Consider the following 19947-nt stretch of genomic DNA (forward strand, 5'->3'; position numbering starts at 1 on the left):
GGGCGGATCACTTGAGGTCGAGAGTTTGAGACCAGCCTACCCAACATGGTGAAATCCCATCTCTACTAAAAATACAAAAAAAATTAGCCAGATGTGGTGGTAGGCACCTGTAATCCCAGCTACTGGGAGGCTGAGGCAGGAGAATCACTTGAACCCGGGAAGTGGAGGTTGCAGTGAGCCAAGATTGCTCCACTGCACTCCAGCCTGGGCAACAGAGCGAGACTCTGTCTCAAAAAAAAAAAAAAAAAATTAAAACTATGTTTTCTTCTTGAGAGAGATCTTTGGGCAAAAAAAGCAATCCTTACCCTACCCTTTTCAGGCCTTTCCTTTTGATTTAAAAATCCTGAAGTAGAGACTGCTGTTCAGAAAGACTTTGCCTGTGTTTGTTTGTATGTCACCCTTGGAACACATATTGTGTACCTTTTTAAAAAAAATTCTGGAATAAAACTCAATTTCATATGTCTTTGGATCAAAAAGGATCAAATCCTCGAAAAGAAAAAAAAGCAGGTTGATACAGAGTTTCTTGGAAAGATTCCCAATACCAATTTAGTAGAGGAAAGGGGAATGTCTTAGCTGTTCACTTGTGGCTTTTTTTTTTTTTTTTTTTTGGGACAGAGTCTGGCTCTGTCGCCCAGGCTGGAGTGCAGTGACACAATCTCAGCTCACTGCAATCTCTGCCTCCTGGGTTCCGGTAATTCTTCTGCCTCAGCCTCCCAAGTAGCGGAGATTACAGGAGTGTGCCACTATGCCTGGCTGATTTTTGTATTTTTAGTAGAGATGGGGTTTCCCCATGTTGGCCAGGCTGGTCTCGAGCTCCTGACCTCAGGTGATCTGCCCACCTCCTCCTCCCAAAGTGCTGGGATTGTAGGCATCAGCCACGGTGCCCAGGTATTTTTTTTTCTTTTTTTTTTTTCTTAATGAGATGAAGTTTCACTCTGTCTTGCAGGCTGGTGTGCAGTGGTGCAATTATGGCTCACTGTAGCCTTGACCTCCTGGGCTCAAGTGATCCTCCCACCTCAGCCTCCCAAGTAGCTGGGACTATAGGTGTGCATCACCACACCCAGCTTTTTTTTTTTTTTTTTTTTTTTTTTTTTGAGAGGGAGTCTTGCTCTGTCACCTAGGCTGGAGTGCAGTGGCATGATCTCGGCTCACTGTAACTTCTGCCTCCCAGGTTTGAGCAATTCTTCTGCCTCAGCCTCCCGAGTAGCTGGGATTACAGGCACCCAACACCACACCCAACTAATTTTTGTATATTTAGTAGAGACAGTATTTCACCATGTTGGCCAGGCTGGTCTCAAACTCCTGACCTCATGTGATCCACCTGCCTCGGCCTCCCAAAGTGTTGGGATTACAGGCATCAGCCACTGTACCCAGCCAAATTTTTTTAATTTTTTATAGAGATTGGGGGGCAGTCTCATTATGTTGCCCAAGGTCATCTGGAACTCCTGGGCTCAAGCGATCTTCCGGCCTCGGCCTCCCAAAGTGCTGGGATTTCAGGCATGAGTAACCAGGCCCAGCCTCTTAGTTCATGCCTTAATCCATTTCACTGTGACAGTAGGTCTGCATCTCTTCCTTTTTCTTCTTAGGTAGGTTTCATCTTTTTTTTTTCTTGAGATGGAATCTGGCTCTGTCACCCAGGCTGGAGTGCAATGGCACCATCTCGTCTGACTGCAATCTCTGCCCCCCAGGTTCAAGCAATTCTCCTATCTCAGCCTCCCAAGTAGCTGGGACTACAGGCATGCACCATCACCCCTGGCTAATTTTTGTGCTTTTAGTAGAGACAGGGTTTCGCCATGTTGGCCAGGCTGGTCTCGAACTCCTGACCTCAGGTGATCCACCCTCCTTGGCCTCCTAAAATGCTGGGATTACAGGCATGAGCCACCATGACCGGTTTTGTGTTTGTTTGTTTGTTTGTTTGTTTTGAGACGGAATCTCACTCTGTCACCCAGGCTGGAGTGTGGTGGCACGATCTCGGCTCACTGCAACCTCTGCCTCCTGGGTTCAAGCGATTCTTCTGCCTCAGCCTCCCGAGCAGCTGGGATTACAGGCACCTGCCACCACACCCAGCTAATTTTTGTAATTTTTGTATTATAGGCATCCGCCACCATGCCCAGGTAATTTTTTGATCCTCCTGGTGGATCACTTGAGGGATTATAGGCGTGAGCCACCACACCCGGCCCTTTTCTTTAAATACTGCATTTTCCTCTTTGTCATGTGGCCAAAACGATCTAATTTAAGTCTCCCTGTCCATATTCCCAAATTGAGGAATCCAAAAGATTCACACAGTTGCCTCCCCAGTTCCTCTTAGCCTGTTGCTGATTATTTGAGGATGTGATTAGTGAGTAAATAAATAATACCCGAAGGCAGTCGTAAGCAGCTTTGCAATTAAACAGGAGTCCCTTGTCTTTAACTGGGGCTGAAACCAGAGGAGTTTAATTGCTTCTTCACTCTCCATCTGAGATCCATTGAGTAAAACAGGATATTGGAAAATAATCGTGACGTTGTTCTAAATCCTGGTTCTGCACAGTATCAAGTAAATAACCAAGTTTTCTGGTTTTAGATGAGTGATTGTTAGGTTAACTCCCTGACTGTCCTTCGTACAGCCTGCATTTGATCTTCCTATTTCATACTTTACCCAGGTACTTGATTAAACATGGGATCTTTGAACTGAGATCCAGCAATATCTATCACATTGTAAGGTTTCTCTTCATGTATATTGATTGCAGAGTACTTTCCACAAACCAGAACAAACTGTATTTGAAAAAAAGATTTGTCACCTTTATCCCTGGAAAGGAGAGAGGGAGACAGTATTGGCCACGGCACAGCAGATAAACATGTTTATTGTTATGGTTCTTCAGGTTGCCATGGGTGAACCAATGCACATAAAACCTGTAGCACACATCAGGAAATGTTGTCATTATTATAGTGTCTTGTATCTGATAACACCGCTTTTTAAAATGTGTTTAAAAGTCATTAGCTAGAAAGTGTTTTAAAACTCTTGCTATAATTAGATAGTAAATGCCTGTGGGTGCATAATTGCAGTGCTGGGTAATAGACTGACTTGAGATAGCTGAAACGCGTGGGGGCTTTCAGGACAGTTCACAGGACATTTCCTGGCAGGTGAGCCAACGCAGCTTCATCAAGGGGTGGAAAACTGAGTTCACACTCTTAAAGGTGAGTCTGAGTCAAGAGCAGAGTTCTATAGAAGGGATAAATCTGACAGGAACCAAAAGAGAATTCTATATAGGAAGATGTGTTTAGATGAATGCACTTAGGTTTCAGGGAACACAGCTCCACTCAGGCCAGCTAAGTGAGGGCAGATACTGTAAGAGGCCAGGGGCAGTCTCATGATCACACGAGTCAAATCAAGCCAGGCTTCATGAGAACTGGCCTTGGGAAGTTGCCAAGGACCAAAGTAGTTTCTTCATCTCTCAGAGGCCTCATGGTTTCTGTGATCTTTGCTTCTCTCCGTGCCAGTCTGATTCTATTCTGTCTCTCAGACCACATTCTCTGTTTGCCCATGGCCCAACCTGATTGTCAACCCCAAGTGAATACATTTTCACAAGTCCACAATCAATGATGATGGATCTCCTCTGTTTCCTAATTTGAATTCTTAGCAAAAAAAAAAAAAAAAGAGAGAGAGAGAGACTGGCCCAGCCCAGCTGCGACTGAATTCTCTTTAATTTGGGAGACCACCCTTGATCAGGCTCTAGAAGGGCAAAGTCATGAGGCATTTTCCTCTCTCAAACGTGACCACATAGGTCTGCTCCTTCTACAAGGGCAATTTCTAGAAAACTGAGATGTGGGTAGGGAAGAAAATGAAACCAGCCAAGTATAAGTGATAAGGCAGGGCATCAGGCTAGCGTAGAGGCAGAATTCTGCCTGAGGGAAGAGAGAAGAGCTGAAATGCCCATGGAGTACACGTAGATTGTGAGTCAAGTGTGTGATACTAGGGAGGCAGGAGGAGTTCATGGGAACCTCAAGGAGCAGGACTCACTCACATGGGACAAGTCTCTTCAATGGCTCCAGGAGGGCCTTATTCTCATCCTGCCTGGGGTCACTGGAGCCCTGCCCTTGAGCGTGCAACCACACTGTATATTCACCACACCAAAGCACCCAGCAACAGGCAGTTATGAGTGCTGCATTGTGGGATTGACAAGCCCAGTTATTTCATATTGGGACTGTTCTAGGAAACTGGTAACAAATCACTGTTTCAGGAGTCTAGGAAGTTCATGAGCCCTGATGTAAAACGCAAGAGAAAAGGATAAAAATTGTATGGTCTGTGTGAGAAGGGGTTGTGTCAACTTTGTGTCTTTCACAGTGCAAGGCTCAGTGCTTTAAATGGAGTTGGTGTTCAGAAGTGTTGTTTGGTTGAATGAATGGAATTAAGAGAAGGGAGTGAAGGGGAAAAGTATTAATAAATGGAAGAGAAAGAGCCACAGCAAGGAAAATGAGAGAAAAGAGAAGTTCAGGAGAGAAAGGAGATAGAAAGCTGGAGAAAGGGAAAAGATGCATTTGGTGAAAGGAGGTATAAGTTGCATTTCATTCATTCATTCAGCACTAGTTTTTGAGCACTATGTGCCAGCCACAGGGCTAGGTCCCAGGAATATGGCAACAGATGAGTTAAACAAAGTTACTGGTTTCATGAAGCCTACCTTTTGTTGGAGGAGGTAGAAGGTAGACTCCTAAAGAATAACTAGTTGTTCAAAATCACAAATTGTGATAAATGAGATGGAGGAAACAAATGAGGGGTTGAGAGAGAGACCCTCAAGGCTGGAGAGAGAAGAGCTTCCTTAGATTGTGTGATCAGAAAAGCCTTCTCAAAAAAAGTAATTGCCTTTTTTGGAACAAGGAGCATTCTGAAATAAGGAAAAAGAGAATGCTAGGAAATCTCAGTTCCAGGATGGGACATTAAAAAAAAAAAACAAAAAAACTATTAGCAGAGCAGTTGAACAGCCTCCGTTCTATTGATACAGAGTATTAAGCGAGGCCGGGTGTGGGAGCTTATGCCTGTAATCTCAACGCTTTAGGAGGCTGAGCAGGGAGTATTGCTTGAGGCCAGGAGTCCAAGACCAGCCTGGGCAACGTGGCAAGACCCCATCTCTACTAAAAAATAAAAATACATAAAAAATAAAAATAAAAATGTAGCAAGCCTGTATTACCATGAAGTTAAAATGATCAGGCATAAACTAGTTCATAATCTTAGAGATCCCAAGAGTATGAAATAATCAGAAATATAAGGAGAGGAGTAGGCTGGGCACAGTGGCTGACACCTGTAATCCCAGCACTGGGAGGCTGAGGCGGGCAGATTACTTGAGATAAGGAGTTCGAGACCAGCCTGGCCAACATGGCGAAACCCTGTTTCTACTAAAAATACGAAACTCTGGCTGGGCACAGTAGAGGCCTGTAATACCAGCACTTTGGGAGGCCGAGGCAGGCAGATCACCTGAGGTCCGGAGTTTTTTGTTTTTTTTTTTTTGAGACAGAGTCTCACCCTGTTGCCCAGGCTGGAGTGCAGTGGCACAATCTTGGCTCAATGCAACCTCCACATCCTGGGCTCAAGTGAGTCTCCTGCCTTAGCCTCCTGAGTAGCTGGGATTACAGGTGTGTACCACCATGCCTAGCTAATTTTTTTTTTTTTTTTTTTGAGACAAGAGTTTCACTGTTGTTGCCCAGGCTGGAGGGCAATGGCACGATCTTGGCTCACCGCAACCTCTGCCTCCCAGGTCCAAGCAATTTTCCTGCCTCACCCTCCCAAGTAGCTGCAATTACAGTCATGTGCCACCACGCCCAGCTAATTTTTTTGTATTTTTAGTAGAGACAGGGTTTCTCCATGTTGGTCAGGCTGGTCTCGAACTCCCGACCTCAGGTGATCTACCTGCCTTGGCGTCCCAAAGTGCTGGGATTACAGGCGTGAGCCACCATACCCGGACAAATTTTTTAATTTTGTAGAGACGGGAGTCTCGCTGTGTTGCCCAGGCTGGTCTCAAACTCCTGAGCTAAAGCAATCCTCCCACCTTGGCCTCCCAAAGTGCTGGGATTATAGGCATGAGCCACCATGCCCGGCCTTGGCTTCTCTTTACTGCTGTTAAATCGAGGTGAAATGTTTTTCTAACTTACCACGATTATAGAGCTAGATGGGGGTAGAAGCCAGATTTACACCTCTGCACTTCTGATTCCAGAGTCTTTGCCCTTTCTGTTTGTTTTCTGCCTTGGAGTGCCCCTCACTGGGCTCAGTCCTCTAAGGAGGTTGCAAAGAGAGAAAAGGTTTCTCTCTTTTTTTTTCTTTTCTTTTTTTTGAGACAGAGTCTTGCTTTGTCGTTCGGGCTGGAGTGCAGTGGTGCGATCTCGGCTCACCACAACCTCCACCTCCCAGGTTCAAACAATTCTCCTGCCTCAGCCCCCCGAGTAGCTGGGACTACAGGCACATGCCATCATGCCTGGCTAATTTTTGTATTTTTAGTAGAGGTGGGGTTTCACCATGTTGGCCAGGCTGGTCTCGAACTCCTGACCTCGTGATCCGCCCGCCTTGGCCTCCCAAAGTGCTGGGATTACAGGCGTGAGCCATTGCACCCAGCCGAGAAAAGGTTTCTTTTTGTAAGCCCTAAACTACTTGGAAAGAGGCAAAAACTCTCATCACTAATCTAAACTCCATGAAAGCAGGGACTGGATTTTTCTATTATTTGTCCACAGTGCACACAGCAGACACTCAACAAATAGTCATTGATTCAATCAATCAGTGTGTTTACAAAAACAGACTCAAGCACAGTTTATTCAACTGGAAACTTTAGAAGGTGCTTAAACAAGACAATGTAAATGCTTGGGTGAGCATCATTAATGAGTGATATGACCCATTGGGTGACAAAAGGAAGCAGTTGGGTGTGGCCAGGCACAGTTCAAAAGCACTTTTAGATATTTTCCTTTATTTAATCCTCACATCCAGCCTCTGCATTAAATTGCAGAAAGGTCAGGCAGCTAATAGAGGAGTTGTGATTCAAATCTATATAGGGTGACTTGAGGATGGCCACTACTCCATCCCACTTAGGGACTATGTATGTGCAAATGTTCAGGTAAATGCAAGTAAGGGAATGTCATGGTGGAATGGAGTTCTCCTGAGAAAAGAGAAATGTCACAGTGTGTTATGAGCAATTAGAAATTTGATAAAGGATGCCTAAATGTCACTGTCCTATAAAAGACTGAGCCCTGAAAACATACACAGCCTGCCAGATGGGATGGGTGACAATCACTTCATTATTTGCTTTCCATCTTGAAGCTTTCTGTAAGTAATCACTAAGCAATGATTTTTTTCTGTGAGACAGGAATGCCATCAACCCAATGAACAAGCACATCTTGAAGTTGCTTTTCCAATGGTGGTGGTGTTACTGATTTGCTGTAATCCTCTCTTGTGCTCTCTCACAGGGTCTTTCTCATGATCAGCAACACACATTTGCAGAGAGCTTTGATCCATACTCCTCTGCCCCCAACCCTGAAAAGCATCAAGCCGAGAAGCCAGGAAGCTAGGGGGTCATGAATTTATTGCTAATTGTATAATTCTGGTCACCAAGAGGAAATTTTCTGAATCCAATAGGATTAGGGCAGAGTTTCTCAACATCAGCACTATTGCTATTGTTGGGGACTGTCCTGTTCATTATAGGATGTTCAGAGCACCCACTAGATGCCAGTAGCAGCCTCCCCCATGTATAACAGTCAACAGTGTTTCCCTCCAAATATTGCCAAATGGCCCTGGGGTAGAGGAGTAGGGAGGGGGCAAAATTGCCCCTGGTTGAGAACCAACCAGGGTTTAGAGATACAAACACACCTGTGTACATATGTGCACATATGGCCATGGTGCATATAGTTACCTTGGCACAGGGCTTTTTTTTCTTTGCTTTTTGCTTTGGGGTTTTTCTCTTTCCTGTTGTAGGTGGGGTTTTTTTGTTGTGTTGGTTTTTGTTTTTGAGATGGAGTCTTACTCCGTCACCCAGGCTGGAGTGCAGTGTGTGATCTCAGCTCACTGCAACCCCTGCCTTCCGGGTTCTAGATTCTCGTGCCTCAGCCTCCTGAGTAGCTGGGTTTACAGGCTCCTGCCTCCATGCCTGGCTAATGTTTGTATTTTTAGTAGAGACAGGGTTTCATCATGTTGGTCAGGTTGGTCTCGAACTCCTGACCTCAAGTTATCCACCAACCTCAGCCTTCCAAAGTGCTGGGATTACAGGTGTGAGCCACTGTACCCAGCCGAAGGTGGGGGTTTTTGCTGTTTTTTTTTTTTTCTTTGGTTTTTTGTTTGTTCTTAATCTGAAGCAGAATCTTTACTTTAATCTTGACTCCTCTTTTTTAGTTCTGTCCATTTTATAAAACCTTTCCAAAGAGTTGATTACAACTGCTAACACTATTTTTGACATTTTTTTGTGTGTATCTTTTTTTTTTTTTTTTTTTTTGATACAGGATCTCACTCCGTCACAGGCTAGAGTGCAGTGGCATGATCATAGCTCACTGTAACCTCTAACTCCTGGGCTCAAGGAATCCTGCCAAGTAGCTTCAAGTGTGCCACCATGCCTGGCTAATTTATTTTTGTAATTTTTTTGGTTTGTTCGTTTTTTTTTGTTTTGAGACAGTCTTATTTTGTTGCTCAGGGTGGAGTGTAGTGGTGCGATCTTGGATCACTGCAACCTCTGCCACCTCCTGGCTATTCTCCCGCCTCAGCCTCCCAAGTAGGTGGGATTACAGGTGCGTGCCACCATGGCTGGCTAATTTTTGTATTTTTAGTAGAGACAGGTTTCGCCATGTTGGCCAGACTGATCTCAAACTCCTGACCTCAGGTGATTTGCCTGCCTTGGCCTCCCAAAGTGCTGGGATTACAGGCGTGAGCCACCATGCCTGGCCCAGCTGCTAATTTTTAAAATTTGTATGGAGACAGGGGTCTTGCTATGTTGCCCAAGCTGTTCTCAAACTCCTGACCTCAAGTGATCCTTCCACCTTGGCCTCCCAAACTCTGGGATTACAGGTGTGAGCCACCACACCCAGCCAGTGCAACTGCTAACATTATTGAACCACTACTGTATGTTTGATACCCTGCTAATCATTTTACATGTATGTTTAAAGTTTAATCATCAAAATAAGATAGAGGTTGTATTATTCCCATTTACAGATGAGAAAACAGAAGTACAGGAAGTTAAGTGACTAGACATGGATTTCAGTGGTTTTGAGTGAGAGAGTTGAGATTTGGACCCAGGCTGCCTCGTGCCTGTGTTTGCTTTCTTATTTAAGATGCAACACTCTCTTCTTTTTTTGGATGAAACCTACATCATCACTGTGTGCCCCTTCAATTCTTGATCTCAGAATTTTGACAAATGGGGCAAAATTTGATCTATGAGTAAAAAATCACACTCCTGTACTTTGAAATTACATGCTGTGTACAGTTAGTGGAAACAGTTTAATCGTGCCACATGTGCATGAGAGCTGGCACTAACCGTGGACATATATGTCTTTCTCTTTTTACCACCAGAGTGTCTCTATGTATTCCCCTGCCAGTGGAACTACCGTCCCGATCACTGCATGTACGGAAGCAACTGCAGAGAGGCTGAGCATGAAGGTGTGTCTGTTCTGCATGGAAACCGAGGCGTCTACCATGACGATAAGCAACCAACGTTCAGAGCACTCTATGAAGCAATACGGGATGTAAGTGTGCCCTTGCTGCTGTTAGCAGATGTGCTTATCAGCATGAAGCAATATTGGCGCTTTAGTCACCTGTCCCTTTGAAGGCCAAATATTCCCAAAGCATAGAGTTATACCAGTTATTCCCGACCTCAGTCACGCTCTGTCACTATATCCTCTTGCCACCTTGTACTATGTCATATCTACTTGACTTATTTCCACGTACACCATTCATTATCTTTTACTTAACCAAATTTACTTTAGGAGGAAATTTCTGTTTTTTGTTTTTGTTTTCTGAGATGGAGTCTTGCTCTGTTACCCAGGCTGGAGTGCAGTGGTGGGATCTTGGCTTACTGCAACCTCCACCTCCTGGGTTCAAGTGATTTTCCTGCCTCAGCCTCCCAAGTAGCTGGGACTACAGACACGCGCCGCCATGCCTGGCAAATTTTTGTATTTTTAGTAGAGATGGGGTTTCACCATGTTGGCCAGGCTGGTCTCGAACTCCTGACCTCAAGTGATCCACTTGCCTTAGCCTCCCAAAATGTTGGTATTACAGGTGTGAGCCACCTACTTTAGGAGGAAATTTCATGTCACAAAGACAACTTCTGTGCCTTTTGCCATAGTGTAAGGTAACACATAGGATCAAGATTAGACAATAAAAAGAAAATGATATTACTCAGTTCTAGCTAAATACGTTGCCTGGTTGCCAACTCCAATCTGTTACTCAATCAGGGGTCAAGGTGTTCAGTTACAACAAGGAGCCAAACTAAAAGTAACAATCAAGCCTTTATTTGCTTAACTGCAGAAGTGCATGCAAGCAGCAGAAAGAGGCCCTGACTCCCCAGTCTTCCATTTTTCCCCACCAAAGGGTACAAGATAAGAGTCAAGTGCATACAGCACACATGGCAGGAACCTTCTCACTGCCAAGGGGCACTGAAGAAAAGGTTCTTGGCTGGATGCAGTGGCTCATGCCTGTAATCCCAGCACTTGGGGAGGCCAAGGCAGGTGGATCACGAGGTCAGGAGTTCGAGACCAGCCTGGCCAATATGGTGAAACCCTGTCTCTACTAAAAATACAAAAATTAGGCTTGGCGCAGTGGCTCATGCCTGTAATCCCTGCACTTTGGGAGGGCAAGGTTGGCGGATCACGAGGTCAGGAGATCGAGACTTTCCTAACATGGTGAAACCCCATCTCTACTAAAAAATACAAAAAAAAAATTTTTTTTTGGTGCTGGGTGTGGTGGCGAGCGCCTGTAGTCCCAGCTACTCGGGAGGCTGAGGCAGGAGAATGGCATGAACCCAGGAGGCGGAGCTTGCAGGGAGCTGAGATGGCGCCACTGCACTCCAGCCTGGGTGACAGAGCAAGACTCCATCTCAAAAAAAAAAGAAGGTTCTTGCCTCTTTATGGACTCGTGGGCTAGGGATGGGAAAAGAGAGGAGAAAATAGGGTGGGAATGCAGGTATGTGTATGAACATGGCTGTCTGGAGCCCTTTATGCAACTTTCTCAAGAAAACTACAACATAGTAAGACCCCATCTGTACAAAAAATTTAAAAAATAAGGCAAGCCTCATGCTGTAATCTGAGTGACTTGGGAGGCTGAAGCAGGAGGATCACTTGACCCCAGGAGTTCAAGGCTGCAGTGAGCTATGATTGCACCACTTCACTCCAGCTTGGGCAACAGAGCAAGACCCTGTCTCAAAAAAAAAAAAAAAAATTCACGACAGAAGAAAACTATATGAAATTCAAATGTCAGCACTGGTAAATAAAGTCATATTGGGAACCAGTGACACCTATTCATTTATGTATTGTCATTTTTCTTTTGGTGGAGATGGGATCTTGCTTTGTTGCCCAGGCTGATTTCAAACTCCTGGCCTCAAGTGATCTTTCCATCCCAGCCTCACAAAGTGCTAGGACTACAGGTCTGAGCCATCGTGCCTGGCCATTTATGTATTATCTATGGTTATGTTGGCACTATAATAACAGGATGATTAGTTGTGACAAAGGACATATGGTCTACAGAGTCTAAAATATTTACCATCTACTCCTTTACAGAAAAAGTTAGCCAGCCCCTGACATAAAACATGTAGAATTTATTAGGCTTTGTTGTTAAAGATCGAATTCTCTAAGTTTCATGAACAGGCTTTGGTAGAAGTGAGGTAGGGGGTAAATCCTGTAACATAGTAACAATTTTTTGTGTATGAAAATGTGCATTTGAAAAAAAAAAAACAAAAACATTTAAGGCCCAGCACAGTGACTCATGCCTGTAATCCCAGCACTTCAAGAGGCTAAGAAGTGAGAGGATTGCTTGAGGTCAGGAGTTTGAGGTCAGCGCAGCCAACATAGTGAGACCCCATCTCAAAAAAAAATAAAATCGGCCTGGTGTGGTGGTTTATGCCTGTAATCCTAGCACATTGGGAGGCTGAGACAGGCAGATCACTTGAGGTTAGGAATTCAAGACCAGCCTGGCCAACATGGTAAAACCCCATCTCTACTAAAAATACAAAAATTAGCCGGGTATGGTGGTGCACGCCTATAATCCCAGCTATTAGGGAGGCTGAGACAGGTGAATTGCTTGAACCTGGGAGGCAGAGGTTGCAGTGAGTCTTGATTGCACTACTACACTCCAGCCTGAGTGACAGAGCGACACTCCATCTCAAAAAAACCAATTAATTAATTAATTAAATAGGCCCGGTACAGAAGCTCACGCCTATAATCCCAGCACTTTGGAGGCTGAGGTGAGGAGTTCAAGACCAGCCTGGGCAACATAGTAAGACCCTGTCTCTGAAAAAACAAATTAAAAAAAAGAAAATAAATGAAAAAAAGAAAGTATGCATTTGCTAGGGAGAGTCCTGGAGAATTCTAACTCTGAAATTCGCAGAGTTGGCTGAGCGTGGTGGCTCACATCTGTAATCCCAGCACTTTGGGAGGCCGAGGTGGGTGGATCACCTGAGGTCGGGAGTTCGAGACCAGCCTGACCAACATGGAGAAATCCCCCCGTCTCTACTAAAAATACAAAATTAGCTGGGCGTTGTGGCGCATGCCTGTAATCCCAGCTACTCGGGTGGCTGAGGCAGGAGAATCACTTGAACCTGGGAAGCAGAGGTTGCAGTGAGCCAAGATCATGCCATTGCACTCCAGCCTGGGCAACAAGAGTGAAACTCCATCTCAAAAAAAGAAAAAAGCAATTTCTAGAGTTGACTTCTGTACAGGGAAAGTGTTTAGCATGCATCCAAGCTTTTCCTTCTGCATTTCCTGCTATTTGGTTTTCAAAGGCCAGGTGATTTAATTATGCAGAAAATTTGTTCTGTGCTTAATGATATCCTCACATTTAAATATTCAAACACTGACTCCAGGGGCAAACTCATTCAGGAGTACGAGCAGAAGTTAAATAAGTACACAGCAGCCGTGTGTCTATCAGAGCCACTCTTGGGTTTCTTTTGTGATCTGTCACCCCTGGTTTGGAGTTGAGCAGTTGTGGTTCTTGAGTTGCAACTCATCTTGTTTGTTTTCTGGGGGATCAGAAAGAGGGCTGAACAACTTTGTTTCATAAATGATTCTGCTTAGTACACTCCATGATTTTCCTCAGTTGGGCCTGAAAATATAGTTTTCATTCAGGCATTTCAATCAGAAAAATGACTAACCCTGACCCAAAATGTGAGTAAATGTAAAGAGACTCCATCATAAAAGATGTATTTCCCCATTCTCTACAATGCTGTGAACCATTGTGTAGTGGGTCAGAGCTTGGCTTTGGGCCTGGACAGACAGGTTCAAATCCCAATTTTGCCGCTTTCTGGTGATTTGCCATTAACTGTGCCCTTACCTTGCTGGGCCTCAGTTTTTTCATCAGTCAAGTGTAGATAATAAGATTATCTACCTCAAACAAGTGTTATGAAAATTCAACAAAATGATAGTCTTTATGCTTTTAGTACAGAGCCTGACATACAGTTTGTGCAATAATTAGAAGTTGTTTTGGCCAGGTGCGGTGGCTCACACCTGTAATCCCAGCACTTTGGGAGGCTGAGGCAGGTGGATCACTTGAGGTCGGGAGTTCGAGAACAGCGTGGCCAAAATGGCGAAACCCTGTCTCTACTAAAAACATGAAAATTAGCCGGGCGTGGTGGCGCATGCCTGTAATCCCAGCTACTTGGGAGGCTGAGGTAGGAGAATGGCTTGAAACCGGGAGGCAGAGGTTACAGCAAGCCAGGATCGTGCCACTGCACTCCAGCCTGGGCGACAGAGTGACACTCCATCTAAAAAAAAAAAAAAAAAGATATAAGGAAGTTGTTTTGATGATAACAATTTCACACTTTCTCTAGCTTTTTCACATTTCTCTCTCTCTTCTTGCTTATAAACAGTTTCTCTCTATATACCTTTTTCTTTTTCTCCCTTCATCTGTCTCTGAAAATATTCTCTCTCTTTCTCTCTATTTCTCTCTCTGTTTCAGGTGCTCATAGACATCCTAACCTGTGTGTTTGTGTGTACGTGTTTGTGTGAAAGGGCAGTGCAGCCTCCCCACAAGAAGGCATCTATCATATAGACATTTTTGCAGTAATTCTCTTGACAGTCACTTATGAAGCATCTATTTTATGCAGGAACAATTCTAGTTTCTAGGAATTTGGAAGGTAATAAGATGAACAAAGCCCTAGTCTTTAAGAAGCATATATTCTGAGCTGGGCGCAGTGGGTCACACCTCCCAGCACTTTGGGAGACCGAGGCAGGTGGATCACCTGAGGTCATGAGTTCGAGACCAGCCTGGCCAACATGGTGAAACCCCATCTCTACTAAAAATACAGAAATCAGCCGGGCGTGGTGGCAGGCACCTGTAATCCCAGCTACTCAGGAGGCTGAGGCAGGAGAATTTCTTGAACCCAGGAAGTGGAAGTTGCAGTGAGCCAAGATCGCACCACTGCAGTCCAGCCTGGGTGACAGAGCAAGACTCTGTCTCGGAAAAAAAAAAAAAAAAAAAGAAGCATATATTCTGGTGGGGGAAGCCAGACAATACTGATTGAGAAAAAGAAAGAAAAATTCAGCCTGGGCGACATAGTGAGATGCGTCTCTACAAAAATTAAAAAAAAAAAAAAAAAATTAGCCTGGTGGCACATGCAGGTAGTCCCAGCTACTGGGTGGGGAGGGGTTGGGGCTGGGGTGGGAAGATCTCTTGAGCTTAGGAGGCCAAGGCTACAGTGAGCTAGGATGGCCCCACTGTACTCCAGCCAGAGCAAGACTTTGCCTCTTTAGGAAAAAAAATAGTAACAACTGGGCGTCATGGCAAGTGCCTGTGGTCCCAGCTAATTGTGAGGCTGAGATGGAGGATCACTTGAGCCCAGGAGTTCAAGGCTGCAGTGAGCCGTGATTGCCCCTCTGTACTCCAGCCTGGGTGACACAGCAAGACCCTATCTCAAAAGAAAAAAAAATCCTCTGAGATAGTGAAAGGTGAAAGGAGTTCAAAAGGTGTAAAAAGAGTGGGCTGATGGGTCCAAAGTCCTGGGCTGGAGAGGAGTGTTCTACCAGCTGGGGGAGGGGCACCAGGGAGGCTGCTTGTAAGTCCTAGACTTATCAGATGGAGGCAGCCCAGGGGAAATCTGGGGAAAATCCCGTGAAACAGAAGGAATGACCAGGGGAAAGTCCCGGAGGCAGGAATGAATTTGGTGTGCTGGAAAGACAGGAATGGCCAGATAAGAGGAGAGAGGAGGAACTGAGAGGGGAGAGTTTCCAGGTCACCTTGAACCTTTAGAACAAGGGAGGAGTTGGAATCTCATTCTAATGGCAGTGGAAAGCCCCTTCGGGAAAGTGATAGGCTCTGATTTATGATTTAGAAATATCACCTTGGTAATGTGGTGGAAGGGATGCAAGAGTGAAAACACAAAGGCTATTTATTTGTGAGACTAATCGCAGCCACCTGGGTGAGCAATGGGGCCAGCATGGGCTTGCGTGGTGGCAGGAAATGGGAAGAAGTCGCCATATTTGGGATATGCTGTTGAGATAGAGTTTACAGGACTTGCTGATGAATTGGATGAGGGTTGTGGGGGGAAAGAGAGGAATTGAGGGTGATTCCAAGGTTTTGACCTATCCTGTTCCCATTACTGGAGCTACAGTGGTGAAAAGGACAGATTCAGGACTGGCTTCAAGGGGTTTATCAATGATTTAAATTTCATGATTAAAGAAAAAGTATCCCAAACCAACCTGGTCTGGGAGAGAACCTTCTTGCATTACATAATGCATAATCTCCTTCCGAGAAGAAACTGGCATCTCTGATAAACCTGTGTAAGCAGTATTTCTGATTAATTTTAAAGGATTAACATTTGTTCTAGGAAACCAGACACCCACCTCTCCTGTTAGGCAAGAGTGTACTGATCTTTAACCATTCTTCTTTCATTTCTCACTAGTCTTTCCATATAAAATGTCCTGACCAAGAGTGGATCTTTGACTTGATCTACTACCAGACTTTTCCCTTTCAACAAGATTGTAATAAAACTTTGATACATGTGCGTAACTAAGTGGTCTGAAAGATTTATTTTGGGTTATACTGCTCATAGACGTATTCCATGAAGAAAACAAAAGAATTTTAAAAAATGGCAGTGATGATCTCAAAAGCCCAATATTAAGAGGGAAATAAACAACCACTAATATTTGGTACCTGAATTATTAAAATCTGGTTTATTGCCAATAAATTTTACTAGTAATTGTTAAACCCTGAACTTCACGAGATTACCATAGACATACCCTAAAGTTTCTTCATTAAGGTCAAAAAAGATGAAGAATTCATTGTTTTGTTGTAGTAGATTTCAAGTGAGTATCTTGAGCCTTCCTTCTACTCAGCGTAAACATGCTATGATATATGGACTTTCCTGTCCTTAGAGACATGCATCATTTTTAGATTGTAAGACCCTTAAGGACCCAAATTTTTTTTTAATTTTATTACTATTCTTTTTTAATGAGATGGGGTCTTGCCATGTTGCTCAGGCTGGTCTCAAACTCCTGGGCTCAAGTGGTCCTCCCACCTCGGCCTCTCAAAGTGCTGGGGTTACAGGTGTAAGCCACCATGCCTAGCCTTTTTCTTTTTAAAGAGGTAAAGAAACTGAGGTTCGGAGAGTTTAAATGATTACCTGGGGTTGCACAGCTGAGACAGGATTTTAAGTTAGATCCTCAAAGGTCTTTTCACTTGTCCAAACCTGTGCCTGTGGGCTTATCGTAATTCCTGTGTCATTTCTTAGTAAAAATGATCTGCATTTAAAATGGCATTTCCGTTACTAAATAAACTTTTTTTTTGTCATCTTTCAGTTTCCCTTTCAAGACAATCTCTTTCAATCCATGTATTACCCCCTTCAGCTGAAGTTTTTGGAGACTGTGCACACTTTATGTGGACGAATCCCGCAAGTTTTTCTGAAGCAAATTGAGAAAACAATGAAAAGGGCTTATGAGAAACACGTCATCATCCATGTTGGCCCCAACCAGATGCACTGAATATTTTGTCTTGTTGCAAGTCAATTAGGTGTCTTGTGACCAAGGAAATACTAATCTCTAAGCTGCCTGGGTCTTTTTGTGTGAATATTTAATGGTGCTCCATGACTGTTGAGTTTTAAAAACCTCGTTAAATTTTGCCAAATCAGTTGCCCCCAAAAGGGAATATGCTTTTCCTTATTTTTTTTTCTAAAATGCTATTTATCTCTAAGGAAAAAAAAAAAAGACTATTACTCATTTAACATTGTTTAAGCAGGTTGAGCTAGCTGTGAAAATAGCTTTTGTGAGCCTTCTAATTCCTAAACGTCTGAGACCATTTCAGTGGCACCTGAGGTGTTATATTGATCTAGCATTCCTGAGACTCTTTCTATGCAACTGACTCCCCCACACCCGTGTTATAAAAGTAATACACACTTTTGAAACAGAGAGACACACTTGTAGAGCATATGGGTCAAGGGCTCAACATCAAGATTAGATTAGCCATAATCCTATTGACCAGTGGAAAAGATTGTTTCCATTTTAAAGCAGTTCCTTACAACCTTTTTTCTCTACTTTTGCATTTTCCACTCTAACACACATCTAAAACAGGTAATCTCAGTAAAAGCTGGCCTTTTTGCTGAGATTTTTATGTGGGAGACTAAAATATTAGATGAGATGATTATGTGTACAGAATTTTATTTAAAATACATCTGAGAGAATCATTCAGATACTTGGGTAGTGTTAAAGGATGAAGCATGTATCTGGGGGTATTTCTTCTTTTTCTTTCTTTCTTTTTTTTTTTTTTTTTTTTTTTGAGACGGAATCTCACTCTGTAGCCCAGGCTAGAATGCAGTGGCAGGATCTCGGCTCACTGCAGCTTCCACCTCCTGGGTTCAAGTGATTCTCATGCCTCAGCCTCCCCAGTAGCTGGGATTACAAGTGTGTGCCACCACACCCGGCTAATTTTTGTATTTTTAGTAGAGACACGGTTTTACCATGTTGGCCAGGCTGGTCTTGATCTCCAGACCTCAAGTGATCTGCCTGCCTCAGCCTCCCAAAGTGCTGGGATTACAAGTGTGAGCCACTGCACTCAGCCAATCTGGGAGTATTTCTAAAGAAAAAAATTACTTTGATTTGTGGAGGACTAAATCATAATACATTTCTATGCAACAATAGCTTCTGAGAGGAAATTCAGGAATGTTTGTGTTTACCACAGACAAAAACATTTGATCTGTTAATCATCAGTAGCTGTGGTCATCTCTCTTTCTTAAACTCTTGGGCAATGGGTGGAAATCAGAGACCAACTTCAAATTTAATGTGTAAAAAACAAATAGTTCAGCTGCTTCTATTGGTAAGAAAATTCAACTTCCTACCAGCCTTAGAAAGGTCTCTTTAAACAATTTCTTTCCCCCTAGGGTTACCTAGCTGGTCCATACAGGTTTTATCACCTCACTGCAAGGAGGAAGTTGAATATTCTGTTCCCCACGGGGATCTGGCTTAATCCCTAGTTGCTCATATAGTTGGTATCAGCATAGCAATATTTTGCATAATGCTTTATTTTTCTCAAATGACTATTGCATAGATGATCTTGATATTTGCAACAGCCTAGTGGATTTGGTAGGGTCCTGAATCATCTCTATAAGGCAAACAAGGAAATTGTAACACAAAGAAATAAACATATTGAATATAATTGCTATTCTGTAAGACATACAGTCTGTGTAAGATGTATCTTATTTACAGAGACATTTTTGAAAATTAAAATATTAAATACTTTTTGTTATATAGAGACAATGATCTGGAAGTATAAAAAGAAAAATATTATCTTGTTGATGTAAATATGATATCCTTATATATATTAGAATCCAATAAGATATCATGGGCGCAATATTAGCAAAAAAAAGTCAGTCTTACCCTGAAAAAAAAATAGATATGAAAATCTCAGCACTACACAGAAATGTTTAGATGTCAATCAGTTTTGGTATGCAGCATTATTATAGTAGTAACAAATTTAAATCTAAAATTTTAGAGTAATACTTTCCTTCTGATCAGTTGCCCTGTGGTTATTTTTGTTAAGGAAACTACCATTATGACGGGAAACTCTTATTTTTGCTGTTATATTTTGTTTCCTTATTTCACCACTAGAGGTGACATCATTATTTTGTAACTTTAGTACTAGGCTTTCCATTTGTGGTATGGACACGTATGATATGGAGCAATTTTTGAATTGTCTTTCACATAGGGGAAATTGCATCTTATATACCCATAAATTGGGTTTTAGTGAAAGAGCCAGGATGGAACATAATTTCCTAACTTCCATCCTAGTTTCCTTTCTACTTGTTCAGAATGGCCAGTGAAACACACAAATGGCACTCAGATTTGTTGATGGCTCACCAACTCAAAGAGGTTCCTTCTCTCCTTTGATAAGTCCCACAAAAACATCTACTGTAAAGACTTGAAATACAATGCCTTTCTTTTTTATGAGAGCCAAGTTTACCCACAACTCTCAACTACCAGTACTGGTCTGACTGTGCAGAAAAGGGTTGCCCGCAAAGGTCAATGATATCACCCTAGAACATTCTAGAATGATGAATTTTGAGAATGTGAAACCTTAGAACCTCGTGCGGTTGTCTGCCTTGGAATTCCTGTGCTGTATCCTGAAATTTTAGCTGAATTTGGCAGAGAATTCAGAGAAAATTTGCTTTTCTAATCCTTGCTGCCTGAAAGTGCTAATTATTTTCCATAGCTAGGATATTACCATGGAGCAATATTTTCTCTGCCTTTGATAACTCCCAGCAAATTACTACATTAACCGCCTTTGAAATCCAGGAGCCACAAATTTTAATTCAGTGGCCT

At 43.2% G+C, this 19947-nt stretch overlaps 1 protein-coding gene across 2 annotated transcripts in view, besides 2 other annotated features; it reads left to right on the top strand.

Moving 5' to 3' along the window:
- Positions 1–18874, top strand: part of GXYLT2 (glucoside xylosyltransferase 2) — an 88870-nt gene extending 69996 nt beyond the window's left edge. For both annotated transcript variants that reach the window (NR_138564.2, NM_001080393.2), the window contains exons 6-7: positions 9506–9678; positions 16936–18874. Coding sequence is in view for 1 of the 2 variants with exons in the window: in NM_001080393.2 (NP_001073862.1) it covers positions 9506–9678; positions 16936–17118 (356 nt within the window). In the remaining variant the exon portion in view is untranslated. The remainder of the gene's footprint in view (positions 1–9505; positions 9679–16935) is intronic.
- Positions 13052–13181: a silencer, noted in NCBI's record as "silent region_14533". NCBI's record gives its function as "represses an Ori minimal core promoter by ATAC-STARR-seq in GM12878 lymphoblastoid cells {active_cell/tissue: GM12878}" and the evidence as "EXISTENCE:reporter gene assay evidence [ECO:0000049][PMID:35858748]".
- Positions 19361–19430: an enhancer, noted in NCBI's record as "active region_20095". NCBI's record gives its function as "activates an Ori minimal core promoter by ATAC-STARR-seq in GM12878 lymphoblastoid cells {active_cell/tissue: GM12878}" and the evidence as "EXISTENCE:reporter gene assay evidence [ECO:0000049][PMID:35858748]".

This window comes from Homo sapiens, chromosome 3 (genome assembly GCF_000001405.40).
Source record: "Homo sapiens chromosome 3, GRCh38.p14 Primary Assembly".
NCBI classification, from domain to species: Eukaryota; Metazoa; Chordata; class Mammalia; order Primates; family Hominidae; genus Homo; species Homo sapiens.